The sequence below is a fragment of the Homo sapiens genome, chromosome 12 (genome assembly GCF_000001405.40).
Source record: "Homo sapiens chromosome 12, GRCh38.p14 Primary Assembly".
Classification (NCBI taxonomy): domain Eukaryota; kingdom Metazoa; phylum Chordata; class Mammalia; order Primates; family Hominidae; genus Homo; species Homo sapiens.
The window spans coordinates 48276656-48298300 of record NC_000012.12 but is presented as its reverse complement, the minus strand read 5'-3'; the positions used below and the strand labels follow the sequence as shown (position 1 = coordinate 48298300).

General features: G+C 39.8%; 1 long non-coding RNA gene across 1 annotated transcript in view; it reads left to right on the top strand.

The window, feature by feature from the left end:
- The window catches only part of LOC105369753 (uncharacterized), a 28424-nt gene extending 9129 nt beyond the window's left edge, over positions 1-19295 (top strand). Inside the window, exon 4 of the long non-coding RNA XR_944923.3 lies at positions 18850-19295. This is a non-coding gene — a long non-coding RNA (uncharacterized LOC105369753). The remainder of the gene's footprint in view (positions 1-18849) is intronic.
- The last annotated feature ends 2350 nt before the right edge of the window (positions 19296-21645 follow it).

Here is a 21645-nt window from a genome sequence, read left to right as displayed (position 1 = left end):
TCCAGTTGTTCTCTACTTAAACGGTAACAGAGAACACCAACATCAGACAAGGTTATTCTGTATCTGTGATAAAATAAGACAAAAAATATGACCACTCTGTAATTATGTCTGAGCAAAGATAAAAACAAGAACACTGTGCAAATCACAAAAATGACCACAAAAGTGAGGGCCTGCTGCTGTTTTACCCATTTACAACTTTAGCTCCATTGGATACCTCCTACCTCCTAGATGATAATTAAGATATGCAATCATGGAATTGCTTCACTTTCTGAAAGACTCACCCCAATATTTGACACAAGCCCAAACCACAAAACAATCCCCTCTTAACTGCCTCTTACTGAGATATCTCACAGGTTCCCCGGCACACAATCTCTTTTTGCAACAATTAATAGATCCAATTCTGTTTGCCTACAAGTATGTTTTCTGGTATCTTTGGACCTCTGGATGTTAATCCTTTGCTCTGATGCTTGATACAGATAATTTCTCCTGGCCTTTCTTTTGTCTCCTAACTTTGTTTATGGTATCTCTGTTACTGATACGTTTCTAATTTTATGTTTTCAATTTTATCAATCTTCTCCTTTATGGCTTCTTTAGCTTTGTGACTTGTTTCCCTACCTTAGACTATAAATAGTATTATACCATATTTTCTTTTAATATTTTTACAATTAAAAAATGTTTAGCTCTTTAATTCATCTGGACTTTACTTTTGTGTGCAGGTAACGAAGATCGAAGTTTTTTCTAAATCTAGGACACTTCAGGACTTAATTCACACCCATGGCTTTCTCTGGGTGGCTTTCCTTGACTCTCTCCCACCACCTCAACAATCTGGGTTAGGCGTCCTTGCGTTTTATTCCCATAGCACACATCGCAACAATCATCACTTAGAATAGTTTGCTTGAGAGCAAGAGCAGTGTTTTATTCATAATTGTATCTCCGTGTCCAGTAGGTTGCCTGCACAGTAGGAGTTTAACCAATATTTATCGATTGACTGTCCTCCTTACTTCTCCTTGAGAGCAGGGGCTGGATCGTATTTGGTGGGCCTCTACCGGGTAGATATGAAATTGAAATAAACCAGAGATTCAGTCCCTGTACTGTTGCCATGGCAATGCGGCGGCTTCTTCAGGTCTGCAACTTCAGTTGTGCACTACAATTGGCTAAGTAATCGAACGCTTGTCTCACTCCCCTTCACAATTTTCTCCCCGGCTGCTACACTTAAAACTAAAATTACGTAAACGGAAGGAATGATTTCCGTGCAGTTTCGCCAAAGCCCCTTTCCTGGATTCTGGCTCCTTCTTCTTGCCCCAAGGCTGAGGGGATGCAAGCAGTGACTCCTGTCCTCGGGTACCTTGCAGAGTCCTGGGGCTAGCTTAAGAGGTGCTGGAGAAAGACTGGGCGCCTGGAGTGGGTGGAAGCAGAAAGCTTCTATCTCATGGCGCACCCGTTTCCCGCACCCTGAAGCCTGGCTGGATCGGCCCTGTCCCGGGCTCCGATAGCCTGCACCGAGCGCACCAGCCGTGTGCTAATGGTCGGAACATGCGCACCTTTCTAGGAAGACTGTTAGAAGACGGGAGGCTGGGCTGTGGCCTGTGGGAAATGTAGTCTCAAGGCGTCCTGTGTCCTGGAGCCTGAGAGGCGGCGCTGCCTCAAAATGCTGACTCAGTCATTGACTGCTGAGGGAAAAGACTGTCGTGCTTCTTATTACTGAGGCATAAACGAATGAAAAATGGGTGGGAGACTATAGATAATCTGGGGTAGAATTTGGTAGCCTCCTAATTTTCACCCTCCTGAAGAACTGACCCTACTGTCCTTCCGTCTCTTTCCTTAAAAGTGTTCCAGAATCTAGCTCAGCCTTTCATTCTGCTCACCTAAGCATTTTGGGTGTGTAGGTGGGAAAGTGGGTGGGGCGAGGGGTGAAGGGGGTCGTGTCAGGTTTTTCTTTCTTTTTGTTTGTTTCCTTGAGAGTGCAAACTGGAAAGCCCAAATATGTAAAGGTGCCCAGAACAGTGCTCGGCGCAAAATAGCCAGGAGGTATATGATGTTTGTTGAATTTAATATGATAAAGGGCTTTGAGAGGAAAATGATTGCCCACCGTGGGATAAGGACTTGGGAGGCAGAATATATGGTGTGAGTCAAAGGATCTGTGGTCCTGGCACATGGCTTGACCCTCCACAGTACATCTTGGTCAGCTGCTTCATTTCACAGAACACTGAGATAAAAGGGCCCTGCCTGCCCAAGGTCCACCACTACACAGCAACAGCATTGAAACTAGAACCCAGGGCTCCCCTCCCATGGTTTACCTCCAGGTCAGACAATGAAGTGTGGAGATCAGCTTCTCACACCTCTGAGGGTAAATAAAGGCTAGGAAGGCAGTGTCAAGGAAAGACGATGCCAGAATCTGGCCTTTCTTCTAAGACAGATTGAGGTCTCCTGCTCTTCAGTAATGTGTTCTGTAGGTTAGCTAAACAAAGAGAGTTTACCCTTCCTGTGAGTCTCAGAAAGGAATGAATAACTATTTGAATTGCCAATGACAAGGAGCATGGAACCCAGGAAATTTAAAGTAAACTTTCAACTGTATCCTAAAATCCATATGATTCCTCCCATTTCTCCCCTCCTCCTCCTCCTCCTTCTTCTTCTTCTTCTTTCTTCTTCTTCCTTCTTCTTCCAAATCCATGGAGTAAAGTGATAGCAAGTTTATTAAGAAAGTAAAGGGAGGCCGGGCGCCGTAGCTCATGCCTGTAATCCCACTTTGGGAGGCCGAGGCGGGCGGATCACGAGGTCAGGAGATCGAGACCATCCTGGCTAACACGGTGAAACCCCGTCTCTACTAAAAATAGAAGAAATTAGCCGGGCTTGGTGGCAGGCGCCTGTAGTCTTGGCTACTCGGGAGGCTGAAGCAGGAGAATGGCGTGAACCTGGGAGGCGGAGCTTGCAGTGAGCTGAGATTGCCCCACTGTACTCCAGCCTGGGCGACTGAGTGAGACTCCGTCTCCAAAAAAAAAAAAAAAAAAAGAAAGAAAGAAAAGTAAAGGGAAAAAAGAATGGATACTCCATAGGCAGAGCAGCCTTCCTCTTCTTAATGATAATTATCATCAGATCTATAGTAGCCTCTGGAATGATGGAGTTAGAAGATTTCATTCTTTCTTTCCTGGATCCCTTTAGAAATTGAATTCCTAATTGAGTGATGACCAGCCGCATGGCAAATGGAAAGAGCAGAGGCCTTGGCCTTAGAAAAGCCTAGATTCAAGTCCTAACTCTATAATTAAAACTAAATGATCAAATTACTTCTCTAAGTATTCTCATCTGTTAAAAGGGGTAATAGTACTTACTTCTTAAGGCTGTGGTAGAAAACAAATGAAATTTTTACTGGAGTTAAGCACCTACCACAAGGTAAAAGGGACATTGGTTTCACTCAGTTCCCCAAAAGTACCTGAATTGTAATTCAGGAACTAAAAAAGTAAGAAGCACAAATAGACACTTTTAGAGGAAGTTCTAGGCAACATCTTTCTCCCTGACAGGATAGTCTGCAGGAGTATATGATAGGAATTTGGAATGCTAGCACCTAGAATGAGATGGTATTTAATTTCCACAGAGCTCCTGTGTGTACAAGGGTATACTTCTGAAAATCTGTATCTCTTTTCTTAGAAGCTGGCTCTTTCCTGGCCTACAGTTATAATCTGACCTACATAATGCCTTCAGGGCCAGACATTGGAGTCAGAAGGGTACCCTGTGGTAAAACTCAGGAATATTCCCCCGGAATCAGGAGTTCAACCTGTGGGAACTCTTTTGGCTCTAAGATTTCCTACCGTAGCGTTTTTGAATGAACTGTGACTCAATTCTAGAAGCTGTACCTTAAGGGTACAGCTTGAGGCCAGAACCACACTCAGAAACAGATCCTGGAGTTCTAAGAATTTGATCCTGTAAGAGTCTCGGGAGTTCACAAAGTAGGTGAGATGGGGCACTTGGGTGATCAGAGAGATAGGGAGTTTAGAAGGGCAGAGGTGGAGAGAAGGAACAGGGCTCATTGCCTCTGTTTATAAGGAAACACACACAAATTCAATATACAGAATACTGGTAGGTGGTTTTTGAGAATTATCTGGCAGAAAACAAAGTAGTGAACAGTGAGGAAGGACTTTATGATGGGGCTAGCATCCCTTCTTTGTCTTTGGAAGATTTATATTTCTTTTGGGCCCCTAATCCTTTGCGAGACAGGTTAGTGATTCTTTCCTGAGGTTCCATAGCTCCCAATATTTATCTGCCTCTTTGCTTGAAGTTATAAACTATGGTAGGACAGCAGAGGTCACGATAGTAAAGGATGAAACTGGAAGTAGAAGCCAGGGCAACAAATTCAAGTAGAGATTGCAAGGTCCTTCAGCTAACTCTCTGTACTCTCTATCTCAATGGATCTTAGGCTTTAGGCCAGAATCTTTCAGAAATTTCTTTAATGTCACTAACAACGTCTGAAAACAGGTCTTTTCCCTCTTCCCCTTCCTCTTGTTTCTTAGGGTTATGCAAAATTTAACTCAATATAACAAGAAGTCTTAATCCTGAATGCTATAGGAACAAGAAATGGTCTTCTGGTTGCAATCTAGAAACAGGACCAGGAAGTCCTTCTGATGGGGTTGGCTGGCATCATTGAGTCCACAGTAGAGAAAACTGATACCTAACCTGAAGAACTGCCCTAAAAAGAGGGGTTACAGCATCTGCATCCCAGATTGTGGGAACAGAGATGGCCCAGGTAAACGAAGGGAAATGTTTCAGTAGGTTAATCCCAATATAGATGAATGGGGCAGAGAATAGTTTATCACTTCTATCCCTCTGCATCCACCCAAAACTTCTTAATCTCACCTGAGGCAAATTCAGATTGGGACAACCCTAAGTCTCAATGTTCTCAAGGCCCACCAAGAGAAGCTCTCAAAAGCAAAATACCTTTCTAACTAAATTTTATGGAAAATAGATCCAGATTTCAAGTTAATGATGAAAAAATACATTTTAGCTTTCATTTTTCTAGGGTTGTTAGTAGTACTACCTTTGGGAAGATAGAATAGTAGTGAGGAAAATCAAGATATTACTAGTTTTTAGTGATTTTCTTCTTTTCTGGATCATCCACCTTCCTAGTTTTCCACTCTTCCCACTGACAGTAATTCTAGAGACTGGAACATGACATCCCCAGATGGCATTTTCTTATAGTCAAATCCTAAGTAAGTTTTAATTATCTTTGTTTCTATTGAGAAAAACAATAGGCTATAAGTTTATGATTCAGAAATCATAAGGCTGAAGAATGGGGACTACCATGAAATGTCATGATAAAATTTGACAAAAAGCTTTGATGGTGTGAGGCTATAAGAGGTGATTTTCTGAGAGTTTGGAGTGTGTGTTTGCTTGTAAATGTGTATTTCTGGAGTATGATCTCAAAAAGGTGCTAAAAGAGGAGATATGCTCAGACATATACCCATCCTGTGATGCTGAGTTTTTAAGTCTCATTACACTGAAAAGGTTTTACAGTAAACTTTTTCTTTAAAAGGCCGGTTAGTAAATATTCATTACTTTGCTGGCCACCTGGTCACTGTCACAACTACTCAAACCTGCCATTGTAGCACAAAAACAGCCAGAGACCAAATGTAAACAATTGAGCAGGGATATTGAAATATGAATTTCATACAATTTTATGTATCATAAAATGTTATTATTTTGATTTTTTCAACCATTAAAAAATGTAAAACTATTCTTATACAAAAATAGGCTGCAGGCTGAGTTAGCTTAAGAGTTTTTCTAAGTCTACAAAATTTCATTGTGCATTTTGGGAAGAAACAGGGCGTGGGTTGTAGTGTCAACTGTGAGCGTTTACAAGGGGAGAGCAAGCTGGATATTCCAAGTGAATATCCAACTTAAATATAGGACAAAATCAGACATTATGGCCCCTCTTGATTAACAGAATATGTGCACACTAAGAATAAAGACAAATAGTACTAAAAGACGTTGTAAATACTAAAAGACGTGGTAAGTATACTCTATGACATTTGCATAATGACAACATTAGCTAATGACACATTTCTCAAAACTTTTCCCCATTGTTAAGCAACACATGGCTATATTGTGGTGATAGTTTCCTCCCACATGATAGTCTCTTTGGCTCTTTTTCTTACTTCCTAGGAGATATCCTTAACTTTATTTCCCAACTATTCTATTGAGATTTCCATTTCTCTTATCATGTTTAATTCTAAGAACTCTTGTTTGTTTTATAATATCATTTGTATAGCATCCTGTACTTGTTTTGTGGATGCAGTTTATCTCTCTGAGTATTTTTCGGTTTTGACTTTTGTTTTCTTCTCTCTGCATATTCTCTGTTTCCTCCAAAGTGCTTTTTTTTTCTATTAGTTTGGTTTGGTCTTTATCTTTTATATCGGAAGCTTTCCTCATTTGTCTGGTGATACTTGGTTGTCTGTTTACAATTAGAGTGGAAGACTGTAATATGAATTGGAATTCTGAGTGCTTTGGCACTTATCAACTTATCAACTTTGAGCTGTTTTATTGGTTAATCAGGTAGATTCTTTTATTGAGAAGCCCTAATATAAATATATTTAGGTCTTTCCTCTTGAGCTGCTCTGATTCATCAGTTAAGACTCTTTCAGTCCTTTACCTGGAGGGTAAATACCTGGTTACCAACATTCTGCAATTCAAATGGGAGAAGAGATCTGGAAATCTTAGCACTCAAAAGGCGTATATTTCTTTTGTCTCTCTATTTTGCACATAGTATTAATATCTTCAAGTAGACCTGGTGTATCTGCAACAAAATTACTCTGTTTCTCCAAAGAATAAATTTTCAATTTTCTGTTAGGGTGGATAACAGATTGTTCTCACAGCTATGTGCAATGGGGGAAGGGATAAAGTAATTTAAACGTTTTTAAAAATTTTTTCAACCAATTCTTCTTTCTTAACTTTCACCCCCCCACCCTTCATTCCTAATTTCCAGAGGATTTTACAATGTACATCACAGTTAGTTCTTGGTCCCATTCCCCTACCTAGCTGCTGTACTGGAATTTTTCTTTCTTAGCTTTGCAAAATCAAATATTACACATCTATCTGTTTATCTGTTTGCAAAATTTCATTGCTCAGGATTGTTTCCCCTTCTACTCAGAAATGCTGTCTTTTTATTTTCAGTTGACATGTAATAATTATACATATTTATGGGGTATAGAATGATATATCAATACATGTATAAAATGTGTAAAAGTCAACTCAGGCTAATTAGTATATCACCTCAAATATTTATCATTTCTTTGTATTATGGACATTCGAAATTCTCTCTTCTAGATTTTTGAAAATATACAATAAATTATAGTTAACCATATTTACCCTACAATGATGCATAACACCGGAACTAATTCCTCCTATATATCTATAATTTTGAATTTGGTTTTGTTTGTTTGTTTGTTTTTGAGACGGAGTCTCACTCTGTCACCCAGGCTGGAGTGCAGTGGCACGATCTCAGCTCACTGCAACCTCCAACTCCCAGGTTCAAGCAATTCTCCTGTCTCAACCTCCGAAGTAGCTGGGACTATAGGAGCACACCACCACACCTGGCGAGTTTTTGTATTTTTAGTAGAGACGGGGTTTCACCATATTGGCCAGGCTGGTCTCAAACTCCTGACCTTGTGATCCACCCGCCTTGGCCTCCCAAAGTGCTGGGATTGCAGGCGTGAGCCACCGTGCCCTTCCAATTTTGAATTTGTTAACCAACCTCTCCTCCTCTCCTCTTGCATTCCCAGCCCCTAATATCCGAATTATACCCTCTACTTCCATATGCTAAAAATTTTTTTTAGCTCACACATATGAATGAGAACATGCAGTATTTACCTACCTGGGCCTGTTTTGCTTAACATGTCCTCCAGGCTCATCTATGTTGCTGCAAATGACAGGATTTCATTATTTCTTATGGCTGGATGATATTGCATTGTGTATGCATACCATATTTTCTTTATCATCTACTCACGGACATTTGATTCCATATCTTGGCTACTGTGAATGGTGCTGCAATAATCATGGAGATGTGGGAATCCCTTTGCTATATTGATTTCCCTTCCTTTGGATAAATACCCAGCAGTGAAATTGCTGGATCATATGGTAGTTCTACTTTTGGTTTTTTGAGAAACCTCCATACTGTTTTTCATAATGGCTATGCTAATTTATATTCCCATCACCACTGTATAAGAATTCTCTTTTCCCCACATCTTCATCAGCATTTGTTATTTTTGTCTTTTTGATAATAGACATTCTAACTGGGGTGACATGATATTTTGATTTTGATTTGCATTTCTCTGGCAATTAGTGTTGTCAAGCATTTTTTTTTTATGTTTTTTGGCCATTTGTGTGTCTTCTTTTGAGAACTATCTACTGAGTTCCATTGCCTGCTTTTTAGTGGAGTTTTTTTTATTTTTTCTTTCCTTTTCCTTCTCTCTCTCTCTTTTTTTTTTTTTTTGCTGTTGAGATATTTGAATTCCTTGTATATTCTGGATGTTCATTCCTTATCGAATGAATAGTTTGCAAATATTTTCTCCCATTCTACAGGTTGTCTCTTCACTCTGCTGATTATTTCCTTTGCTGTGCAGAAGGATCTTCAGTTTAATGTAGTCCCATTTATCTATTTTTGTTTTTGTTTAAAAGGGAGCAGAGTTAGATGTTAGTGTTCAAACCACAATTTTCAGGTTCCCAAGAATTTTGACATCTCTCAACGGCCCTCAGTGAATTCACTAACAATATGTAGAATGCCAATTCAACAAAAACAAATGTCCAGAGAAGATTCTGGGAAGATAGCAGAATAGGTAGCACCAACAATCTGTCTCCCTACCTAGACAAAAATTGCACTGGCAGAATCAGTCTGATATAACTAACTATTTTGGAACTCTGGAGTCTCTTGAAGGATTGTAGCTTCCATAGGGGAAAGCTTGGACAATAAAGTGTGACAGTACTTTGCACAGTAGCAGCTACCTATTCCCCATTGTCAGCCATGTGGCAAGTAGCTGTGCATATGTTCCTGGAACAGCTCACACACAACTTGCAGTGTCCAAAAGGGACCTTTTCCTCTAAATATCAGCGATTATGGTTCAAGGTCTGAGCTAAAAAGTAATTAACTAAATAAATAAAATATTAGGGATCAGTGCTGTGGTTACTGATTGCTGCTTCTGAACACACAGGTGCAGACAAAGAGGCAGGCAGCCATTATTGTTTTAGTTTCCTCATCTTCCCTCAGCTGAGTGACTTCCAGGGTATTTAAAGGGCAAGTCTTCTTTTTCTCCCTTCATTTTTCTCTGTCTCTTATTTTTGAAGCAAAACATTAAAGACTAGGACTTTTAAAAAGACAACTGCATATATGGGAAAAAATAGAAAGTGACCACACATAACTAGGGAAAGATGCAGGGAATGCTAAACACACACAATCATGAAAAGCTAAGCACATGTCAAGAGGACACAGGCGCCAACTCAAAGAGCTCCCAGTTGCCAAGGCTGGAGCAATTTGAGCAAGAAAATAGTGCAGTACTGAATTATAACCCCAAACGTAAAATATCCATGAGTTCCTACTGATGTAAATGATTGAAAAAATACATAAATGAGGATGAATAGACAAATCTCTCATGCAGAAGAATTTAAAATAATTTACGTAGCCACTCCCCCATCAAGGAAGTGAAGCATAACTCCTGACTCCTTTATGTGCCGGCTATACCTAGTGATTTGCTTCCAAAGTAAACAGCATGAGGGGAGGGTCAAAAAAGTAACTTTACAGGAGAAACCTCACAAACACTGCTTCATCCAGGTGATCAAGGTTAACAAAAGTGATAATTCCTCTGGATATAACGAACCTTTGATATGATGTGATGAAAATGACACTTTACCTCTGTGGTTTTCCTCCCAAAAACCCACAACCCTTGAGAAAAAAAAAAAAAAAAAAAAAAAAAAAAACTTCTTAAAAAACACAGCTGAGGAACATTATGCAAAATACCTGGCTAGTAATCCTCAAAACTCTCAAGGTCTAAGAAAATGCCACAGCCGAGAGGAGTCTAAGGAGACATGACAACTAAATGTAACTTATCTTGAATGGGCTCCTAGAACAGAAAAAGGACATTCAGTAAAAATGAAGGAAATGTGAATAAAGTATGGACTTCAGTTAATAACAATGTACCAATATATGATACAACGTATCAATACATTAACTGTTCATTAATTGTGAGAAATGTACCATACTAATAATATTAATAATAGAGGAGTTTGCTGTGTGGTATATGGGAACTCTGTATTATCTTTGCTACTTTTCCATAATTTAAAAGTATTCTTAAATAAAAAGTTCATTAAACATACAACTAGAATTTTTTTTTTTTTGAGACAGAGTCTCTCTCTGTCACCCAGGCTGTAGTGCAGCGGCGCAATCTCAGCTCACCCCAACCTCTGCCTCCCGGGTTCAAGCAATTCTCCTGCCTCAGCCTCCTGAGTAGCTTACAGGCATGTGTCACCATGCCTGGCTAATTTTTTTGTATTTTTAGTAGAGATGGGGTTTTGCTGTGTTGGCCAGGCTGGTCTTGAACTCCTGGCCTCAAGTGATCCATCTGCCTTGGCCTCCCAAAGTACTGGGATTACAGACGTGAGTCACCATGCCTGGCCACAACTAGAATCTAATATCTCTATTAGATTAATATAGTATTTTTAATTAATATAGATTACATATATTATATAACTAATATATAATTAATATTATATTAATATAGTATTATATAGAATGTTACATTAAAAATATCTATGGAGTTTATTATATCATATGTATATGTAACTAGTTTATTGAACAATTTCATACAGTGAGGCACAAGTACGAATCGTGAAATGGTTTTATGTTTCTCTAGTTACTGGCACCAACTGTGATATGCCAAATAATCCCTTCTATTGGATAACAGATCTTTTGATGAATATTCCATAACTGCCTGGTTACTTTCAGAGACTTACAGTCTATTCCTATCTTACAGTCAATTCAAAGCTGGTTTCTGAGGCTGAATGCAGTGATCATGCCTGTAATCCCAGCACTTGGTGGGAGGATCATTTGAGGCTAGGAGTTTGAGACCAGTCTGGGCAACATAGTGAGATCCAATCCCTACAAAAAATTAAAAGATTAGCCAAGAGTAGTGGTCCATGCCTGTAGTCCCAGCTACTCAGGAAGCTGATGGTGGAGGATCAGTTGAGCCCAGGAGCTCAAGGAGTGAGTCATGATCATACCACTGCACTCTAGCCTGGGCCACAGAGCAAGACCCTATTTTAAAAAATAAAAATAAAAAATAAAAACAGCTGGTTCCTCTCCTATCCTCCAATGCTTATCAGGTTTGTAATAGCTTAGAGAAGAGGGAAGGCATGATCTTTCATTCACTCTCTCCCTCTCTAGCACCTTCTAGTGGGCGCTTTGGATGGAGAGTGGTCTGTCTCTGAGACGTTGCTTTTCCCTTCATTTTCAACACCCTAACACGTCTGACATCAGGCACTAGAAGGGGAAATTGAAGGGAAGCAGGAGTTTATTATGCAGTAATGTACCTGCTAAAGATAGAAAAGTATTCCTAGTTATCCTTGGACTCAATTTGGTTTTGTTTCCTACTGGTGGCCTCCATGGATGTGGTAATTTCCATATAGATGCTATATATATTTTTCTGGGGTGATACTTGGGTTTAAACTGGTATCCTCCTTTGCCTAAGTCACCCCAACCCAGAGACATGCATTGAAGCCTCTGTTTGGCATCTGCCTTCATGACCCAACTCCCTCTCTAGACAGGATGTTTCCTCTCTATGTGGCTGCCTAGACAACCCTGTTTCCTGTCCTTTTCTTCATCTCATCTTTATGTGAGCTAGGAGACTGGCAGAACTTGTTTTCTGGTCACAATTCTGCTGACCAAAACAGGATCTAGTCCAGATAGGATAAAGTTAAGAAACTAGCCAAAAACCAGCAGATGGTGACTGAAAGCAATCCCTAGCTGCTGTCATTGCTCGTTAGCATAAGACACTCCCACCAGCACCATGACAGTTTACAAATGCCATGGCAGTGACAGGAAGTTACCACCCCTTTCCATGGCAATGACCTGGAAGTTACCACCCCTTTGGTAGAGAGTTCTAAATAATCTACTCCTCAATTTGCATTAAACCACCCCTTAATTTGCATGTAATTGAAAGTGAGTATAAGTGAGTAAAAGTATAGTTGCCAAGAGCCCATGCATTGCTGATTCTGGGCACATGGCCTGTGAGTTAGCCCTGCTTTGCTAGAAGTAGTACCATTTAATAAAATATTGTTGTCTAACACCACCAGCTCATCCTTGAATTCTTCCCTGGGTGAAGCCAAGAACCCTCCTGGGCTAAACTGCAATTTTAGAGCTCCCCTGTCCTGCCTCAAAGCCACTGGCACCACTGAATTCCTCTTTCTCGATCTACTAGGACCTTGGGGATTTGGTGGAGTGCTCCCATAATTTCATCCAAAGCTCATTACCTCATTGCCCCTATTTTCCCATGGGGTCAGGTAACTCCAGCAAGCCTCTCACATTCAGACATTTCAAGACAAAAGCAAGCACACATTTTTAGGTTCAGTTTTGGGGTGACTCTAGTCACCTCAGTAAAATAAAAGTAGTGATGTCTACCTGCAGAAAAAAATGCTGTATAAGTAGCCTCACTTAATGTCTGACATAAGTAATAAGAATACCTCACATTTATTACACCCTTGTAATGTTTTGTTTGGTGGGACAAAACAGGCTGGAAGGGCTGGGCGCGGTGGCTCACACCTGTAGTCCCAGCAATTTGGGAGGTTGAGGCGGGCGGATTGCCTGAGCTCAGGAGTTTGCCACCAGCCTGGGCAACACAATGAAACCTCGTCTGTACTAAAATACAAAAAAAAGTTAGCTGGGTTGTGTGGTGGCGTACACCTGTAATCCCAGCTACTCGGGAGGCTGAGGCAGGAGAATCACTTGAACCCGGGAGGTGGAAGTTGCAGTGAGCCAAGATTGCACCACTGTATTCCAGCCTGGGCGACAGAGTGAGACTCCATCTACAAAAGAAAAATGGGAAGGGGGTGCTGGAAGAACAGATCTGCTCCTAATTTGTATGTCCAAGTCTAATTTAGAACATACACAAAAATCTGTCTCCTGTACAGCTCAAATGGTTTACCCTAGGTCATGTTAAAAACTTTTATTAATTTTTTATCTTTGCTCTACTGATTATGCAAGGCATTCTTGAGTAATAAAAAGCAGAACCTCTTCCACCTTTAGGAATTTATCATACAGAAATAGTTGTTCATCTGTCCCAAGCATATGTGTACAAGATGTTCATTTACTTATAACAGTGAAAATTTCAAAACCTAATTGTTCATCAGTAAGAGAATAGTTTAATAAATTATAATGCACCTACAGAGGCAGTACATGCAATAGTGGTTAAAAGCATGAGATCTGGAACTAGAACATCTGGTTGAAATTCTGCCTCTGCAATTTACCAGTTATGTGACTATATCTCAATTTCTATATCTATAAACTGGAGGTATACTGGTTCCTACATAATATGGTTATTGTGTGACCTTGAGTAAATTATTTTATCTACTTGACCCCTTCTTTTTTTTTTTGACCTGCTAATGCAACAGTAATTTTTTCTTTTTTTGACTGACCCCCAGTTTTTTTCAACAGTAAAATAAAAGTAGTGATGTCTACCTGCAGAAAAAATACTGTATAAGTAGCCTCACTTAATGTCTGATGTAAGTAATAAGAATACCTCACATTTATCGCACCCTTGTCATGTGCCAGGCATTGTTCAGTTTGCATACATACATTGATGAATTTACTCTTCCCCAAAAATATTTGGTATAGATACTATTATTACTCCCATTTTGCAGATGAGAAAACAGAGTTAAAAAGAGCTTAAATAACTTTCCCGTAGTTACAACTTCCAATAATAGTTAGATACTCTGGGTATAATAGCTGCTATTTAAGAAATAAGGCACACATCTGTTGGGATCCTTTCAGTTGCATGTAGTATGAATCCAACCAAAAGTGACAAAACAATGAGTACATTGTTAAGTCACATTACAAGGACTGCAGAGATGGCGATGATCCAGGGTTGGTTAAGTCAGCAACTCAATAACCTCATCAAAATCCAGGTATTTTCTAAATCTTTCTGCTCTGCCCTCTTCATGGGGTGTTGATTTGCCTTCTTAGACTCAATGCCCTTATGTTTCCAAGTTGAGTGACATGGTTGTGGAGATCAAATGCAAAACACTACATTCAGAGAACCAGGAATCATCCCTGTGTTTGTGTCCCTTTTAAGAGTCAGAATAAATTTTCCCAGAAGTCTTCCAGATTAGTCTCACATAATTTTTACTAGAATTTCATCATAATCTTATAAGTCATGCACCACATAGTGATATTTTGGTCAACAATAAACTGCAGATATGATGGTGGCCCTATAAGATTATAATACCATACTTTCACTGTGCCTTTTCTATGTTTAGATATGCTTAGATACACAAATACCATGGTGCTACAATTGCCCACAGTATTCAGTACAGTAACATGCACAGGTTTGTAGCCTACAAGCAATAGGGATATCATATTGCCTAGGTGTGTGGTAGGATATGCCGTCTAGGTTTGTGGAAGTACACTCCGTGTCTGCACAAGGACAAAATAACCTAAAAAGGCATTTTTAAGAATGTATTCTCCATCCTGGCTAACGCGGTGAAACCCCGTCCGTCTCTACTAAAAATACAAAAAAGTAGCTGGGTATGGTGGCACATGCCTGTAGTCCCAGCTACCTGGGAGGCTGAGGCAGGAGAATTGCTTGAATCCAGGAGGCGGAGGTTGCAGTGAGCCGAGATTGCGCCACTGCACTCCAGCCTGGGCAACAGCGAGACTCTGTCTCAAAAAAAAAAAAAAAAGGCATCCTCATTGAGAGACACATGATTGTATTTAAAGTAACCCTTCACAAGGGAAATAGGATCACCATGTTTGGTTTAGGCTAACTAAGATTGAACTTCCGGGGCTAGAAAGGGGCCCAGATACCTTGTAAGCATTTGGTCATCAGGAGAAGGGGAAGCAAAATTAGAAAACTATTAGAGAGAATGAAGGAAGGAAGTGTTGTTCACATTCTTGTTTAATTTCTTTGCTTTGAGTGTGGACTGGACCTAATGATTTGCTTCTAATAAATAGGATACAGAAAATGATGAAATGTCACTTTCATGATTAGGCCATAAGAGACTCTGACTTTCACATCAGTGGCATTTTCTCTCTCTGGCTCTTGTGTGCACATACTGGATGAGGACAAAGGGAGAGGCTCACATGTCAAGGAACTGAGGGCAGCCTCTAGCCAACCACTAGGGAAGCACTGAGGCCTGAGTCTAAACATACGAACATACATGACACTAAATAATAACCCAATGTGCTGGATAACTTCCTTTTGCCCTCACAAATCCATTTTCCCACTCTTTTCCATCCTGCTCCATGCTCCTAGTAGCTCAGTGGTCCCAACCTCTTTGGCATTAGGGGCCAGTTTCGTGGAAGACAATTTTTCCATGGACTAGGTTGGGGATGGTTTCAGGATGATTCAAGCATTTATTGTGCCCTTTATTTCTATTATTATTCTATTAATATCCTATTAGTATTACACTTTAATATATAATGAAATAATTATACAGCTCGCCATAATGTAGAATCAATCAGTGGAAGCCCTGAGCTTGTTTTCCTGCAAATAGATGGTCCCATCTGGGGGGTGATGGGAGATAGCAACAGATCATCTGGCATTAGATTCTCATAAGGAGTGTGCAACCTAGATCCCTCACACGTGCAGTTCACAACAGGGTTCATGCTCCTGTGAGAATCAAATGCCACTGTTGATCTGACAGGGGTCACAGCTCAGGTGGTAATGTGAGTAATGGGGAGCAGCTGTAAATACAGATGAAGTTTTACTTGCTTGCCCACCACTCACCTTCTGCTGTGTGGCCCAGCTCCTAATAGGCCACTGACCAGTACCAGTCTGTGACCTGGGGGCTGGGAACCCCTATAGTAGCTAATCTGTATGTTCTACATCAGCGAGCTCCTTTGTCCTCTGGCTTCCATTTGGGTTCTACCAAGGGGGACACTGGAGTGAGATCTAGGAATTATTCTGCCAGCAAACCTCTCTGTAAATATGACTTTATTTGAAAATAGTGTTTTGTAGATACAATCAAGTTGAGATGAGGCCAAACTAAATAAAGGCAGTCCCTAATCCAATGACTAATTCTTAGAAGAAGGGGGAAGTTTGAACACACACAGAGCCGCACAAGGAGAATGTCATGTGATGACAGAGGCAGAGATTAAGGTAATGATAAGGCAAAGGATGCCAGGGGTTTCTGGCAGTTACCAGGAGAGAAGCATGGAACAGATTCTCCCTCAGAATCTCCAGAAGGAACCAATTCTGCCAACACCTTGATTTTGGACTTCTAGTCTCCAAAACTGTGAGAGAATACATTCCCACTCCTTTAGGCCACTCAATTTGTGGTCGTTTGTTATGGCAGCCCTAGGAGATGAATAGATTGATTGGACATTTTTCTTTGGTGTTATGTTAGAAATATCTGTGTTGAGTGGACCCATTACAATTTTAATGTGTTTTCTCCTGATTATGATAGTAATACATTGAAACTACAAAAAAACTATAAAGAAGAATAACAATTCAAAAATATTCATGACTTCTATAGTTATCATTTTGGTATATTTCCACTGCCTAAATGTGATTTGGCATAACTTTTTCACATGATATGTAGAATTTTCATCCTGAATTTTCCTTAAAATTATAGGTAAGTATGTATCCGTGGTATAAAGAACTCATCATAGATATATTGACTGTATAAAATGCCATTATGTAGGTGTTCTATATTTAATTTAACAGTTTATCTCTTGTAGAATAATTGTTGTCCATTTGTTATTATTAGAAACATTCTGTGATGCCGGGTGCAATGAGATTAATGTCTTTTTTTTCCAGAAGGGGATTTAATTTTTATCCCAGTCAGTGATTGGGATAGATTATATGAGAAGTGTATGTTAATAGATATGTCCCAAAGTCAGGGACTTTCTGACTAATCCAGAAATAACTGCAAGGGTAAGATTTAGGGTGAGAATAGAGAGGACTTTGTAGGGACAGTACTTAAGTTACACAGCTGGGAGAGCTGGTGCTGGAGTTGCCATTTTACTCATGATACTTGGAACAAGATCTGCAGGGACACCTCCTGGACATGGGCCCTTTGCTCACTCTTTTAATAAATCCCAGTTGCTCCTGTGATCCTCCTTGGATAGTCACTGAGCAGTCCCTGTAGGTATCTTCCTAACTAAACTCTTGAGAATCATTTAGAGTAAAAGCAAAACTCAAGCTGGCCTTAATTGATCTGATGTAAAGCTGCCCGTGGAGATTTCCACACATGGAACAGCTGGGATTATCTAAGTACCAAATGCTAATGAGACCCTGACGGTCCCGGCTCAACACTACCTTCCCCTCCCCTCAGGCCTGTTCCCCCAGATACCAGAGAAGGAGGAAGGACGAGGGGACCAACTGGGCAGAGATTGGCTGGGACCCAAGTGCCTCCTTAGAGTGTGATCAAGACTATTACTCTGCTTCTCCAGGGAGAAAAGTTTGGAAGTTCAAAGTCATTTTTATTGGCCTAACTGGCATGTGCCGGGCAATGCTCTGCACTATAAATTGAGATTATCAAATCCAGAAAAGGTCAATACATTATATCTTTCTTTGGTCTCCTTCAGAAAGTGAAGTATAGTGAGCTCATATCATGGAAAAATAACCTTTGTAATAAGATTGGAAAACTTATTTCAAGAAGCTTAGGTCCCTCCCTGAGAGGCTGTCACAGGGAAGTTATCCAAGAACCCAATCTATGCAGACCCTTTCTCCTCACCCTAGAACACAAAAGTGTTCAAGTCTTTCCCTCACTTTTTCATTCAAAACATATAATCAGCTTATTATGTGCCAAGCAGGGTGTTGACTATTATGGGAGACAGATGAATAAAATATGGTCTTTCCTTTAAGATGGGTAAAATCCTGGCAGGAAAGAGCTGTCATTTAAAACAATCATTACAAGAGGTAGAGAATGTTAAACACAACAAATGAGGCATAAACAAAATCAAAGGTTCATAAGTGAGACACTATACTCAATTTCTGGCTGAAAAGATAAGGAGAGACCTCAGAGAAGATTAAGCATTTAATCTGAGTCTTAAAAGTTTCCAATGTTCTCTCTTTTCTTTGCCTACGGCTGCTGCCCTGGATTATACCCTCATTATCTCATCTACCTATTTACTCACTCATTCAACACTTTTTAAAAAAACTTACAAATTACCAAGGTCAAGGCCAGCTGTGGGGATACAACAGCAAACAACACAGAAATGGCCCTTTCCTTCATGGTCCTTACAGTCTAGTTGGGAAGATAAGTAAACAGACAAATTAGAATGATGATAGAACTAAACAAAGAGCTAGTTAGAGAACAGCAGGGGATCAGCTTTAGAGAGGAAGGTCAGGGAAGGCCTATTTGAGAAAGTGACACATATGCTAAGACTTAAGGCATGAGAATGAGCAAGGCTTGGCAAAAGTTAGAGAATGAGCAAGGCTTGGCAAAAGTTAGAGAAAGAGCATTCTAGAGAGACGGAACAGCATATTCAAAAGCTATGAAATAGGGAAGAGCTTATAGATATCAAGTTTCTGAAATGTGAATAAAGAAGAAACTAGAATGAGATGAGGTTGGAAAGAGAGGCAGAGGGAGGATGGCCTTGCTCTTATTAGAAGTTTAAATTTTAATTTAAATGTATCAAATTATGCCCCCAATTGACAGACAAGGCAGACTCCCTGTGGCTCAAAAGCTAAAAGCAGAACCAAGAGGCCATAGCAGAGTGAGGGAGTGATCATGCACTCTGTATCTGTCAAAACTATTGTAAAACCAGTTTTTCTGCAATCAAGTCAAAGAACAGTTCCTGAAAACAATGTCAAAAACAACTACAGCTGGAAATTCCCCAACTGACCACCAATAGGTTACCTGGTGCCAGCCAATTACCTGGAATCAGCCAACTAAGAGAGACTGGTTATTTGGGAGATCAAAGGTTTTCCAATCAAGACTGTGTTCCTCACTCCCTGACTCCTCTTCTGGCCTGCAATCTTCATCTTTATGATATATAACTCTCCAATCCCCTCCTTAGAGTGCACTTTTGTTTTGCACTGAAGGCTGTCTCCTCAATCTGCAGGTTGCTTTTAGAAAATAAAGTTCTCCTTTTGCCTCCACAAGAGATCTCATTGCTCTTTTGTTAACATTTCAAATGCAACAGAATATTGTTTTTTAAGTGAATGAACAATGTGAAATGATTTACATTTTAAGATAATTCTTGCTTTGGTTGGGAAAATTGATAGGAGGAAGGCAAGAGTAAAAATGAGAAGGTCCAATTAGGAGCCCAGGGAAGAGATGATGGTATCTTGGATTAGGATGGCACAGAGAAATGTACAGATTCTATATGTACTTTGACAAAAGATTCACTAGCACTTTCTGATTAAATGTGGGGACTGAGGAAAATGGAGGAATCAAAGATAACTCCTAGGTTTCTAAAATGGGCAACTCCATAGGTTAATTTAATAGACTGTTTTCTTTCTCCTTGTAACAGAATAATAATCCCTATCTATGTTAGGGATCTATACAGCCCATTGAATGACCATGTGGCTTGCTTTGACGACTGGGATGTAGGCAGAAGTGATAATAAGCTAGAATCCTCAAGGTCATCTACTAGTTGCAAAAGAGCAGCTGGATCCTAGTAGAAAAGATCCAAAGTAGAAAAGTCTGAAATGAAAACAATAAGCAATATTCATCAACAGGTGGGTAATTTCAGTATGCAGTTAGAAACTAAGAAAAGGCCGGTGCTGGGAAAACTGCTAGCCATATGTAGAAAGCTGAAACTGGATCCCTTCCTTACACCTTATACAAAAATCAATTCAAGATGGATTAAAGACTTAAACATTAGACCTAAAACCATAAAAACCCTAGAAGAAAACCTAGGCATTACCATTCAGGACATAGGCATGGGCAAGGACTTCATGTCTAAAACACCAAAAGCAATGGCAACAAAAGCCAAAATTGACAAATGGAATCTAATTAAACTAAAGAGCTTCTGCACAGCAAAAGAAACTACCATCAGCGTGAACAGGCAACCTACAAAATGGGAGAAAATTTTCACAACCTACTCATCTGACAAAGGGCTAATATCCAGAATCTACAATGAACTCAAACAAATTTACAAGAAAAAAACAAACAACCCCATCAAAAAGTGGGTGAAGGACATGAACAGACACTTCTCAAAAGAAGACATTTATGCAGCCAAAAAACACATGAAAAAATGCTCACCATCACTGGCCATCAGAGAAATGCAAATCAAAACCACAATGAGATACCATCTCACACCAGTTAGAATGGCAATCATTAAAAAGTCAGGAAACAACAGGTGCTGGAGAGGATGTGGAGAAATAGGAACACTTTTACACTGTTGGTGGGACTGTAAACTAGTTCAACCCTTGTGGGAGTCAGTGTGATGATTCCTCAGGGATCTAGAACTAGAAATACCATTTGACCCAGCCATCCCATTACTGGGTATATACCCAAAGGAATATAAATCATGCTGCTATAAAGACACATGCACACGTATGTTTATTGCAGCATTATTCACAATAGCAAAGACTTGGAACCAACCCAAATGTCCAACAATGATAGACTGGATTAAGAAAATGTGGCACATATACACCATGGAATACTATGCAGCCATAAAAAATGATGAGTTCCTGTCCTTTGTAGGGACATGGATGAAATTGGAAATCATCATTCTCAGTAAACTATCGCAAGAACAAAAAACCAAACACTGCATATTCTCACTCATAGGTGGGAATTGAACAATGAGAACACATGGACACAGGAAGGGGAACATCACACTCTGGGGACTGTTGTGGGGTGGGGGGAGGGGGGAGGGATAGCACTGGGAGATATACCTAATGCTAGATGATGAGTTAGTGGGTGCAGCACACCAGCATGGCACATATATACATTTGTAACTTAACCTGCACATTGTGCACATGTACCCTAAAACTTAAAGTATAATAATAATAAATAAAAAAAAGAAACTAAGAACAGGCCAAAGAAAGGTTAGAAAATATTTAAATGTATGGTAATAGTGGTGAAGAAGGCCTTCAATGGGTTCATAAGTAGACTGAACATAGCCAAAGGGAAAACAATTAGTAAACTGGAAGATATGTCAACAGATATTACCAAAACTAAAGGAAAAAAATTAAAAAGAATAGAAAAAGGACAGAACATATGAGTTATGTGGCAATATTAAACAGGCTAACATACATGTAATTAGAATTCCAGAAGAGAAAGAGATCAGAGTAGAAAAATAAACGAAGAGATGATAGCTGAGAATTTTCAAAAAATAATGAAAGACATCAAACCACAGATCCAAGAAGCTCAGAGAATCATAGTGATATAAATACCAACACACACACACACACTACACACACACGATGTGTCCTATTTAAACATTTGAAAACCAAAGATAAAGAGAAAATCTAGAAGACAGTCAGACAAAAAAGACACATTACC